Genomic DNA, 12,709 nt, shown 5'->3' with positions numbered 1-12,709 from the left:
ATTACAGGCGTGCACCACTACACCTGGTAATTTCTGTATTTTTAGTAGAGACGGGGTTTCACCATGTTGGTCAGGCTGGTCTCGAACTCCTGACCTCGTGATCTGCCCGCCTCGGCCTTCCAAAGTTCTGGGGTTACAGGCGTGAGCCACCGCGCCCGGCCTTAAGTCCCATTATTTTATTTCTTGTTTTTCTATTTAATCTGAGTTGAGAATCTATGTAAATTAAATCCCAAAGTTATCTCCAAGGAGCACCTACTAGAATTGTGTATAAGGAAAATTCTCATCTGGAAAGAGATTGCTATGTATATCCTTACCATTAATACAGCAAAATTAGTAGTATGGTTGCAGCGGCAGCGCAGGAATCCATCAGTGCCCTTGTCTTTTTGACAGCCATATGTGTCCCAGTCCTTCGCTGACAAATTCCAATAGACACAGGCATAGGAATAGAGTTGAAATTCTTTTTGGTTGTACTATGAATTGATAAGACAATTACAATTACTGTTTCTAAATACTTAATTGGGTTAAAAAAAATCAAGTAGTATAAGACAGTCATCTGAGAAATGAATTAAATATATACTAAGCATCAGCATATTCATTATGATTAAGGAGAGGGAAAAAAGGAGATAAAATTTAAATTAGTTAACTTTGCATTTAGTTAGTTTGACAACAGATATGGTTGGGAGGGATATTCAAATGGATACATCAAAGAACCTTTTGAAGAGTTTTGCTATAGATTTCTTTTATTCAACATATCCCTGCTTTTGCTATTCAAGAGTGGTCTGAATTTTTATTATTTCTGTTCATGGAAAACCCTCCCCCCCGCCCTCCTATTCTCTTCTTCCCCTGTATTACTCTACTCAGTCTCAGCTGCCACCATCAGAAAGAAAGCATGAGGACACTTTTTTCTTGCATCTGCAATGAAAAACTCACCTTTGGACTAAAGACCATGTCAACAGAAGCACTCTGATCTTGCTCATTTTCATCAGTTTTGCTTGAGATAATTTTTTGACTAAAATCCGATTTAGCTGTAAAAGTTTTTGATTGGAAAAGCTTGTCATTTTGATAAACTACAAAGCCGCATGTCTTGGTGTAATCTATAGGGAGAAAAAGACATTAAAATCAATAAGTGCACTGTAAGGTAAACAAAAAACAATATGTCACGTTATTGTAGAAGTGCATGGCTGCTTAATATTTGAGTAAAGTACAGTAAAAATGGTTTACTGGTTGAACCTTTACTTAATTGCAATATGTAAGTAACACATATAACCTATGGCGGGCCATTCCACCCACATTAATTTTTTTTTTTCTGAGCTTCAGTTTCCTTACCTTCTACACAGGAACGAGAATTTCTGCCTAGTCCACCTCAAAAAGGTATTGCAAAGATCTCATATATAAAGTAAACGTCTTGCTTTATACATGAGAGATGGAGAGAGTGAACACAACATGTGGGTAGCTCCAGCCCATGTTACCTCCTGCAATGATAAAATATGAGACAGGAAATAGCAAAGCTTGGGACACCAGGATGGCTAAGCCCAGATGAGGTCGGTCTCCTGTTCAAAGGGGACAAGTGGTGTTAAGTCACAGAGCAAGGAGCTCAAGTCACTTCTGTGGAGTTTTTGAGGCAGGCACTCTTCACCATCTCTTCAACTATTGTCCCCTGCTCTGTGTCATGACAATCATGGGCTTCTCCCAAGGCTAGCAGTCTACTGTGAAACATCTTCTGGACATTGGAAAAAGGAATCAGCTGTTCATCAAAGATCCTGAAAGACCATCGCTGCTGTGGAGGGTTTGGCACCCAGCCCGTTGGTGGCAGCAGTCAAAGAGAACCAGGACTGCCTCCTAACACCTTATACAACTGTTGGCATATTTAAAACAGCAGAAGCGTCAACAGTATACATTTTAACTGAATTAATTTCCTAAACTCTGTTGTCTTTCACAAGTGATAAAAGGAAAACATTGTGGTGTGAGACCAGAGTATTCAGTCATCTGATTTGAGAGGGAGACAGGCAAGGCCCCGACAGCCCCCAAATTGTCCTCCTCTGTGGCCATTGTTGGAGCCTCTACCTGGAGAGAAAGGGATGGGTTGCTGTCTTTTGTTCACAGTACATTGACATCACCAAATTGTTTCTCCTGGACCCTAAATGAAAAGTTAACCCTAATAATGGAGCAAGGTTTCTTTTTATTCTTTCTTTAAAAATAAAAGAATGAGACTAGGCAGAGTGGCTTATGGCTATAATCCCAACACTTTAAGAGGTTGAGGCAGGAGGATCACTTGAGCCCAGGAGTTTGAGACCAGGCTGAGCAATATAGCGAGATTCTGTCTCTACAAAAAAAATTTAATTTTTTTTTTTTTTAATTAGCAGGGCTCCTATAGTCCCACCTACTTGGGAGGCTGAGGCTGGAGGATTGCTTCCTCCTGGGAGGTTGAGGCTGCAGTGATTCGTGAGGTAGAGGGCTTCAGGTGCAACTGTAATATTGTCTCTCTCTTTTTTAAAGAGATCTGAAGCAAATATAGGAAAAATTGATATTTGTTTACCTGGCTGATAGTTACATAGGTACTGTTCACATTACTTTCTGTACTTTTCTGTATGCATGAAGTATTTTTAAATTAAAAGAAAAAATGCACAAGAAGATAGAAGACTTAGATCTAGTCTCTACCATCACAAAGCATGTGGCCAAAGCAAATGAGAGCAAAATTCCAGAGTGCCAGATTCACGAATAATACTCTCTTCTTTTTTAGTGCTATTATAAATATATTCTATCTAACACATATACTTTCTGACATCGGGTTTTTTTGCTTGGGGAGAAATGAAAAGTAAGTGTGTCTGTTTGATTTACTTATTTTTTTTTTAGATTTTGAAAAATACAACCACTTCAAGTTACGTGTAAGAATTTCTGAAAGGTTATATGTAGGACAATAGTGAGCACATGGTGGGCACCACAGAGAGGAGATAACCTAAAATTGATACTACTAAATGATGTCTGTGCCAATTACATAGACTTCTCCAGGGTTAGGTCTGCAGGATGCATCTGAGCCTGAGAGTGTCATGCCACTAGTAAACATGGTCAGAGCTTGTGATTGAATATGTCTTAAATTTGTAAGTGTAAAACAGAACCACCTTAGCAAGATTTTTGTAGGAAAACATATTTGTGTACATGGCCTGAACATTTCAATTCTGCTACCTTCCAAAAGGCTTTTGAAAAAAGAAAAAACAAAGAAATTATCTTTTTGACTTAGAATAGTAGAGTTGAGATTACCATAATATGTCAGAGCTCAAACTTACTCAAATGCAAATTACTCAGTATGAAACTAAGTAGACATTATTTCTCCTAGAGTAAATTAGAAGTTATTAGTTCCATGAATTCGAGTCCATTTTTTTAAATGTCACAAAGTTTGAGACTTACTTTTCGTCATATTAAGCAAGACCTGAAGCTCAGTCTGTGCATCTGGGTTAAGGCCATCCACATTTGTATGTATAAATGTTGAACTAGAAACTAGAGAACTGCTAGCTCCTATGAGAAGGGAAAGAGTAGAATTGTAAAAGTCTACATTATCATGAGTAGAGCATTATTATTCATCATCAGTAGCAGAATGCTCTTTGCTGTTACAAGCACATAAGATTAACAGCTCACCTTTCTGCACAGAGAAGCGAACATTTGAAGGCCCCACCGCATTTTCTGAAGAGAAATTTGCTGACTGTATTGCTATGTTAGGTTCCACCACTGATTGATTACCCAAAGACAAGGAATAAGTCTCCATTTGCTCAATAAGCCTGCATATAATAAAACACAATTTAATACTCAAGATTTTGTCATAAAATGAAAGGTATGTGTTCTGTCTTACACTACAGCAGAAAGACATGAGCATAGAATTGTGTGGTCATGACAACATTGACAATTGCCTAAGAATAATTGGTTTTCTTTTCTAGAGTTTTGTTGTGTTATATGTACTTAAATAAAACAGTTCTGGTGGACAGTCCTCACTGAAGGCTACCTTGAACATAGATGGCAAAAAGGTAGAACTCAAGAATTATAGAATTCCCAAAAGAAATAGTCTTTATTATGATGCTCTTCACATAGAAGGATGGTGTTGCCACCCACCATTGGCAAGGCATGCACTTCTAATTTTTTCTCCAGTGGTGAGAATCCATTTCCATTTATTCATCTTCTTCCTCTCACCCAAACCCCTTAGGATCCAAAGCATGTTTTGTAAGTTGTTCGTTCCTGAGGTGACAGTTCAGATGGAACCACCAAAGAGCAGAGCTCTGAGCTCATTGCCTCAGCTATGAACTAAACCCTGAAGGTTTTTACAATGTTCTTTTCTACTTTGGCTAAGTTCAAAGATAGATTAGATGGAAGGTGGGAGGGAGTGGGGGCAACCTGTCAATTTGGCATTCTCCAAAGAAAAGTCATAAGACCTTTTCTTTTTCTTGTTTCCCATAGAAATATTTGAACTATTTCTGTACTTGACCAAACAAAACCTCTGTATGTAAAATAATCAGTCTAGTTCTTCCAGAAATGAAAGGATTTCATCAAAATGTAGTTGTTCTATATGTCAAATCTTTATTTCTGACACTAAAATATCTTTTCTCTACCTCCAAATGAGATAAAAAGAAAGTTTACAATAATTGAGGATTGCTTTATAAAGAGAACATAATCATCATTCGTATGGAAACATTCAGGTTAGATCCTCTGATTGAAATGTTTTCCTTTTATAAAACCATTTTCAGCAATTCACACATACCCCAGAGCTGCTTTCAATGGGAGGAATACCTAACAAAACTCCCACCTGCTAAGAATATCATTCTACCAAACAGTATCTGTTGAGTATCTATGTAGAGGTCAGCACTCTGTGAAACAGTGGGAGTTCCAGGAGCTGCTCCCTCAGGCATTTGCAGGCTAAAAGGAAAGATGTGGTAGATATACAGGAGGTGTTTTTCATGTTCCCACTTTTACAGGGTTGCTCTAACCATAGCTACTTCTAAGGTCATTTTTTCTTTCTTGTACTTCTTTCCTCCTCTTGTCATAACTGATAAGATTACAGATGGGCACCTGCCCCAGAGAAGCCAATCCAGAAAGTGGTCATCCACCTGGCACAATTGACTAAAATAAGTCATCAGATTCTTGGAAACGGGGTTTTTTTTGATTAGTGCTGTAGTTATATCAGGAAAGTCATAATTTAGAGGAAGCCAGAGAGGTCATTACATCATTGTGAGAAAAACCACAAATTAAAAATAAGAGGCTAATTCTTCCTGTTGAAAATAAGAAAAGACCTGTAAACTCCTCTACTAAGGCTTCCAAAGCTGCCTTGGATCCTCAGTCATCTTCCTGCTCCAGGGTCCATATGGCAATAAAAGAAAATAAAATTTCAAGACCCTCTAAATTTATTATGTCAAAAGGAAGTTAAGCCCTGGAGACTGAATCACGTGTAGCGTGTTTGCAACTTCTGCTTATTAGATTATAGATTAACTCTCTTCCTCATTGTTCTTGTTCTGTAAATGACTAGGAGAGGCCAGACCTTTCCCCTTTCTAATGACTGATCTATGTTACAGATTAATTGCCTCCTTTTTTGTCCTGTACCTAACTCAGACCATTTAGCTCATGATTGTTACGTCTTCAGTGTAATTGTTACACCTTCAGTGTGGAATGTTAAATACACATTTCCCAAAAGAAAAAGACCACCTCAGCTAATCAGATTACTATAACCATGCATTACTATAAGCCTTATATAGAAAGCCTTATATAGAAAGACGTTAAAACTCTCTTAAGCTTCCCTAAACTTTGTTTATATAAATGATCCCAAACTTATATACTTCAAAACATTGACTTCCATTTTTTGGAATTTGTGCTTCCCAGGCAGCTGTCCTTAAACTTTGCACTTGAACGAACTCTCTTTAAACTAGATTCTGACCTTTTTGATTATTTTGGGTTGACAAGGCCCACTATATTATGATCTAGTTCTTGGGCCTCCATGAGACCCCATATGCCTATTTACGATAAATCTCTATTTGTTCAAGATATTTGAGTGGGTGCCAGGCTAGCTGGAACAGAAATAAAAAAAGAAAAGCGAAATGTAAATGTACAGGTGGTCAGTGCTAGGGAGGCATTTTGCATTCCCAAAGTCAGATAAACCAGGGTAATTATGACCTTCAATATGAGATCAAAGGTCTAAGGTTACAGATCAGACTATGCAAGCAATGTCTACAATGGTGAGGTCAGCCCGTCGCGGTGGCTCACGCCTATAACCCCAACAGTCTAGGAGGCCAAAGCAGGTGGATCACCTGAGGTCAGGAGTTCAAGATTAGCCTGATCAACATGGTGAAACCCTGTCTCTACCAAAAATACAAAAATTAGCTGGGCAGGGTTGTGCATGCCTGTAATCCCAACTACTAGGGAGGCTGAGACAGGAGAATTGCTTGAACTTGGGAGGCAGAGGTTGTGGTGAGCTGAGATCTTGCCACTGTACTCCAGCCTGGGTGACAGAGCAAGACTCCGTCTCAAAAAAAGGAAAAAAAAATGGTGAGGTGAAGTCCTAAACTCATTGATTGTACTATGATGCCCTCACCAGCAGAAACCCTACACCTCCAGAGCTCTGCCCACTTTGACAGAGTCAAAGAGTCTTTCTTCTCTGTCACTCTCCTCCCTTTTATTCTCACCCTCTCCTCTTCTCCCTATACTATAGAAAGGCAATTCAGTAGCTGAGAGATACCAAGAGAAAACTGGAATGAAAGAAGGAAGAAGTCAAAGTGAAATGGGTGACTAAGGCCTGATGTCTGTCAGGGAACCCAGCATCTGGCCTAGGTTCAGAAGATAGAGTTTGGAAAGCAAATGTTGTCCTAAACAACAATTAATTTCCTTCTCGTGGAGAGATGACCTCTGTTGGAAGCTCATCAAGAGTATTCTCCTAAAGAGAGCTAAAGGGTTGTTGACCTGACCTTGGGGCTAGAAGCAGAGGAGGAAGCTTTATCTAAGTGAATGAAGGAAGGATCTGAGTCCACAAGAGCTTATGCAAAAGATCACGTTGGTAGAAGATAAACTGATGGAACATTATTAGAAAATAATTGGACTAGAAATTCAGAGTGATAAAAGGAGAAATTGAGCATGCTTACACCATTTTAAGGTTCACTGTATCTTATACCTTAAATTTTTATTTATCCTTTAACCACCTCCTTTAAAACTATTTGGATATTGTGTAAAAATCACACAAAATTGTATTTTCCTTTATATATTAAGTCAGCAAAATTCATAATTATTTATTTTTAGGAAAATGTTCCTATCTTTTTTGTGAACTGTGATGTTCAAATCCCACAACTTCTCTTTTCCCAGCTTTCTCACCAAAAACGTTCATTCCTCCCGTCTAGCAAGAATCTGCAAACACAAAGCTTTCATCTCTGAAGGGAGCCCACTCTGGCTCTTGGCCTCTCTGTTCACTGAACATAGACTCTGGACCCCATGGCCACTTCCTTCTCATATGTCAAGAAAAATGAGAGACATCCACATTCTCCATGAGAAGGGCCCAGACTCCTATTGAAATCTGAAGTCACAAAGTATGCCAGTAAAACTGTTCACTCAACCTCTACAACCACCTCTCAGAATTGTAATCTTTGAATGCTCTATTTTGTGCCTTTGTGCTTTTTCTACTTTGAAAATTCAACGCTAAGTAGGTACTTGTCATAATCATTAGAAAACTAAGAACTACTTCTAGGAATTTCTCCTGAGGAAATAATGGGTCGTGTAAATAAAGATTATGTACCAGAATGCTAATTACTTAGAACATTAAAAGACTTCCAGCAATGTAAATGTCCAGTTGCTGAGCAGAGAACTGGTTCAATAAAAGTTTACACATATAATGCAGTAAACTAAAATTATGATGTAGATGTGTATATATTTATATAAAAGATGTTTACAGAAAAAAGTTTGTAAGGTATTAAGTGACAAAAGCAAGTTATGAATCAATATAGTATGTAATATACATATACATACACACACACACACACACACACACACACACACACACACACACACACAGAAACAGAGGGAAAAAAACCTGGAATATATACCAACAGGTTAATAAAGGTAAGATAATTTTTTAAATTTTGCTAAACTACATATTTTCTTATTTTTCTACAATAAGCATGCATGCTGATGTAAGTTTTAAAAGGGTTTTGACAAGTGTGCATAAGGTAAAAATACAGTGAATACCAACAAGGGGCCTCTATGAATAAAGTACATGAGTTTTAATACAAATATTCAACCAACAGTAATCCAGAACAGAGGAGGAAAAAAGAGAGAAAGCAGGTAGAGTTCTCTTTTTCTTTTTTTTCAATGTAGTGTTGGTCAGAAAGGGAGGAGGCAGAGAAACTCTAAGCAGACAAGGGTGGATCCCAGGGGGAAACCTTCAGGCCAAAAGTAGTCTGAAACCCAAAGTGAGAACTTCAATCCCTGTTTACCCACTCTCTCCCATTGGTTGGTTCTTTCTGAATAATGTCTTTTTACGAATCAAATGTTGCCTTTTCCAAAACTACAGCCTGCCCTACTCCCCCATCCTGTGCCTAAAAAGACCCCAGACTCAGCTGGTAGGGAAGAGAAGTGGCTGGATGTCAGGAAGAGGTGTCTTGACTTCAGAGACAGTGAGAGGCAACCTGACTTTGAAGGAGAGAGGCTGAGAGGTGACTTGACTTCAGGGGAGAGCAACCTGCCCTTCCCACCCACTTTCCAGCTCCCCTCTCCACTGAGAGCTTCCCTCATCACTTAATAAAATTCTCTGCATTTGCCATCCTTCAATTTGTCCAGGTGACCTAATTCTTCTTGGGCACTGGACAAGAATTTGGGACCCACCAAGTGCAGGTACCCAAAAAGGCTGTTATGCTGGCCCTTTGCCTTCACTGGTGGAGGGCAGCCACCCCATGTGACAAGGCAAAGGGCCCACTGGGCTGATAATGCAATGTTGTCCATGGATGGTGGAGCTAAGAGAGCATTGTAACATGCCCTCTGGGGCCTTGGGGTTGCAGGCACCCCTCTGGATGCTGCTGTGGGGCCTGCACAGAGTTCGCTCCTGACAGTGGAGAAGTGACTGGCTGATTCCCACACTTGCTCATCTACACATTCCCTCCCGCAAGGGGTTGAGTGGGGTGGGCTGAGTAAACGGGGCACCCCTATCACAAGTCCCACGAAGGGATCAAGAGTAAAGCTAAGGAAAATAATCAAAATATACCAGGGCCTTGGAAAGAGAGAAGTGAGGTGCAGCTTGGGGGATGGCAGTATGTCCTGCAAAGTGAGCTGTTCTCTGTAGCTCTATGTTTTGCAAAAGAATTTGGAAGAGGTCTTGCTGTGCATGGAAGTTGTCCCTTGGTCATGCCAAACTAAGGTGAGGAAAACAAGTTCTAATCTAAATCAGCCCAGTTACTCCCTATCTCCCAGGCCATGGCCAGCACCCCTGGATGCAGGAGGTAACATATACCACTCCATCTAGTAACTAAAGGTCAAGTGGAAAGTCACAGCTCTTATCTACATTCCAGAGGAATCAGTCAGTTACTGCATCCATGAGAGAAATAAAGATATCTCTGTTAATACTTTAGCCTAGGAAAGTAAACAGCCCTTAGTCAAGTTTTCTTTCCAAATTGAATTTGTGCTTACGTTGTAAGGGCATCATCATTAGCAGTAGCAGCAACTCTTTGAAAAGCATCTTCACTGGCATCTAGGAGTTGACTCACTGTTACTATGGCAACTTTCTTTGCCTGCCAAAGAGAAGATACTGATCATCAGAGAAGCATATATCATACATTATCATCACCATCATTATCATCATGAATCATTGTAGTAGCAAGTGGCATCACTGATATGATAATGTAGAGGGAAGCATTTTACAAAATTAAAGGTTTATTCTTTGATCCACATAAGATGACAGAGAGAATCAAGATAAGGCAAAGTGAAAATATAAATTAAGGTAGTGAATTAGGAGGTTTAAGTCCCTGAATTCGACCTCATAGCAAGATCTTTCACAGACTCCCCACCAAACTCCAAGGACACAAAATCAAATGCTTGGATTCAAAAGCAGAAACAAAATAAGAAGAGTGCAATACTCTGGTTGTTAAAAATTACAGCTCATAATACTTAGCATAACTAAGTTATACTTAGTATACCTGTTAGACTTAGTAAAATTATTTGTAGTTTTCTTTCAATCAATAACTCAGGAGTGTGTCAGAGAGATGATCTTTTGGCATTTGATTACTATTTATCTTCCCTCTTTGGGAGTGTTGAAGCCCTTCTGCCTACTTGTTAATCCTTCCATTAATTCTACATTTGGAGGTCAATATTTTCTCTTTCAATTCCATTTTTATTAACTTGAATCCCACTTACTTTTTAGCAGGAAAAATATTTCAATTTTTTTTTTCTGAAACAAAACATTTAAAGGGAATGGAAGAAAGGAGTAGCTATTTTCAGGGCATGCTGATATTCAACCTATACACAAGGTGAGTCCATATTGGTGGTTTGTAGCCCTGTTTGATCACTATCCAGCTATACCAATTAGTAAATGTTGAATATACTTGTTTTCAAGTACCAGGGTTTAGCAAATTAAAATATCAGGAATGTAAACTAGGCTTAAAGTTTTCAGAAAGCCAAGACTAAAATGTAAATATTCTTAATAGAAATGCATTGCAGTTTAAAATCACATGTTCCAAATTAAATTCTTGAAACACTATTTACTTGGAATGCACTAGGGATGGTAAGGTCAAATGTAGTTGGTAAACATATTCATAAGGTGAAGTAGACTTATGCATTCCAGGACTTCCTAAAAGACTTAATGTGATAGCCAGGTGTGGTGGTGTGTGCCTGTAGTCCCAGCTGCTTGGGAGGCTGAGACCTGAGAATCACTTGAACCCCTGAATCCAGAAAGCAGAGGTTGTAGTGACTTAAGATCGTGCCACTGCACTCCAGCCTGGGTGACACAATGAGACTCTGTCTCAAAAGAAAAAGACAACACAATAATGATCATTAGGAATATCCTAAAATAAAATATTTGGACAAGAGGCCCTTTTTTTAATCTTTGAGCGTCTCTCAGGAGTGCTATGCAAAATGCCTTTAAGCAACTTAAACCATGCTCAAACCATATTGTGGAATAAGGAGTGGTATTCAGGACATCTCTCTTTCTTTCCCAACACCCCCTCTAAAAATAAAAAAAAAATTTTTTTTAAAGCTCTGTGAGTTTTACCTCAGGTGAAGCATTTCTGGAAGTGTTGAATATCTGTCCAACCACTCGCGTAGCACTAGTGATGTTCTCAGCAGTTAATTTATTGGCATCAGATGTTAAAATCTGGACTTCAGAAGAAATGTTATTAAGTGGTGCTGTGACATCCTTTACCTGTTTTAAAAACCAGAAAAAAAACCCTAGCTTTACACAATTATGTCCAAACACTTTGTAAGCAACTGCAGGTAAATAAGCTGGAATTTAGCTGAGCCTCAATCTCCTGAACACCATGTCCACTCAGTTTTCCACGTTTGCATCCTTCCTTGTGTAAAGGACAAAGTACATGCAGACCAGTGGTTTTGCCAGCCTTTCCTGTTTGACAGGATTGATTAACTATAAGGGGCTGCCTTAGCTAGATTGGGGCTACTAGAGTGTATCCATGGGCCAGCGCTGGTTCACTGTGTGTTACAAAGGTCGTAGAGAGATAAGCACAGAAACTGAAAGCAATTGGTCAGAGATGTATATAGCAATTTTTTGCTGTTGAATCTAACAGTTCTAAAATTTTGGTTTGTATTTTATACATATTTTTTATTTCATTTTTCCAGTAATTTATTTTTATTATTTCACAAAAATATTGGTGTGCAATGGGTTCAAAATTTTTTGAACTGGCTTTTCAGCACTGGTAGTTTGGAAGGCACTGGCCGAGATGACCTCTCTAGGTGCCAGTTAGCCCCAGGGCTCTGTGTTGTGAGGCTAAAACATGCCAATCCATATTGTCATTGGTGAAGCTGGGTGTCCATGCGCGCGCACGTGTGTGTGTATGTGTGTGTGTGTGTGTGTGTGTGTGTGTCTTGGTTTTCACTAGATGGCAGCATCATTTCACAAATTATACCAGTGTTATAGGCTATTCACACTTGGGTAAGTGTCAGAAACAATACCCAATCAGTAGACAGAAACAAATAACCCTAATTCAATTGCTAGATCCCTGCTATGTGCTAGGCACTCTGTTAGATGTTTACAGGTGTTATCACATTTAATAAGCAAAACAACTTTGTGAGTTGTTCACCCTCAGGAGAAGTTAGGGACCTCAACCAAGTTTCACACAGCTTAGAAGTGGCAGAGCTAAGAACCAAACACTGGTTTGCCAGATTCCAAATTTAGCATCTTTCCTCAATCTGTGGGTTGGCACAACTTGTGTGGTTGGCAGCCACATCCACTCTCCAACTTCTGTTCCCACCCAACCCCTACCCTGCCCATCTGTGATTAGGGAGCCAGGGTAGTACAATGTGAACTTTAAAATAAAGAACAGCTCTATCACTTTTTAGCTGTGATCACTAGGCAAAATGCTTCACCTCTCAGAACCACATTTTCCTCATCTATAAAATGTGTACATTAATACCTATTTATGGTGTTATAAAAATTAAATATGATAAACTAATAAATACATTAATATTTGGCACAATATTTGGCATGCAGTAGGTGCTCAACAATTAGTAAGTGTTATTGGCTATAATTATTTAT

At 39.0% G+C, this 12,709-nt stretch overlaps 1 protein-coding gene across 3 annotated transcripts in view; it reads right to left on the bottom strand.

Moving 5' to 3' along the window:
• ADGRG7 (adhesion G protein-coupled receptor G7) overlaps positions 1-12,709 on the bottom strand; it is an 85,879-nt gene that overhangs the window by 48,441 nt on the left and 24,729 nt on the right. For 2 of the 3 annotated variants that reach the window (NM_032787.3, XM_047449088.1), the window contains 6 exons: positions 11,213-11,362; positions 9,637-9,737; positions 3,634-3,773; positions 3,406-3,513; positions 931-1,094; positions 315-470 (listed from right to left, as the gene is read on the bottom strand). In NM_032787.3, coding sequence (NP_116176.2) covers positions 315-470; positions 931-1,094; positions 3,406-3,513; positions 3,634-3,773; positions 9,637-9,737; positions 11,213-11,362 — 819 coding nt within the window. Of the gene's footprint in view, positions 1-314; positions 471-930; positions 1,095-3,405; positions 3,514-3,633; positions 3,774-9,636; positions 9,738-11,212; positions 11,502-12,709 lie in introns of those variants that run through there. The other variant, NM_001308362.1, reaches the window with a different exon arrangement.

Source organism: Homo sapiens, chromosome 3 (genome assembly GCF_000001405.40).
Source record: "Homo sapiens chromosome 3, GRCh38.p14 Primary Assembly".
NCBI classification, from domain to species: Eukaryota; Metazoa; Chordata; class Mammalia; order Primates; family Hominidae; genus Homo; species Homo sapiens.
The sequence above is the reverse complement of the archived record's forward strand: the minus strand, read 5'-3'. Positions and strand labels throughout refer to the sequence as shown.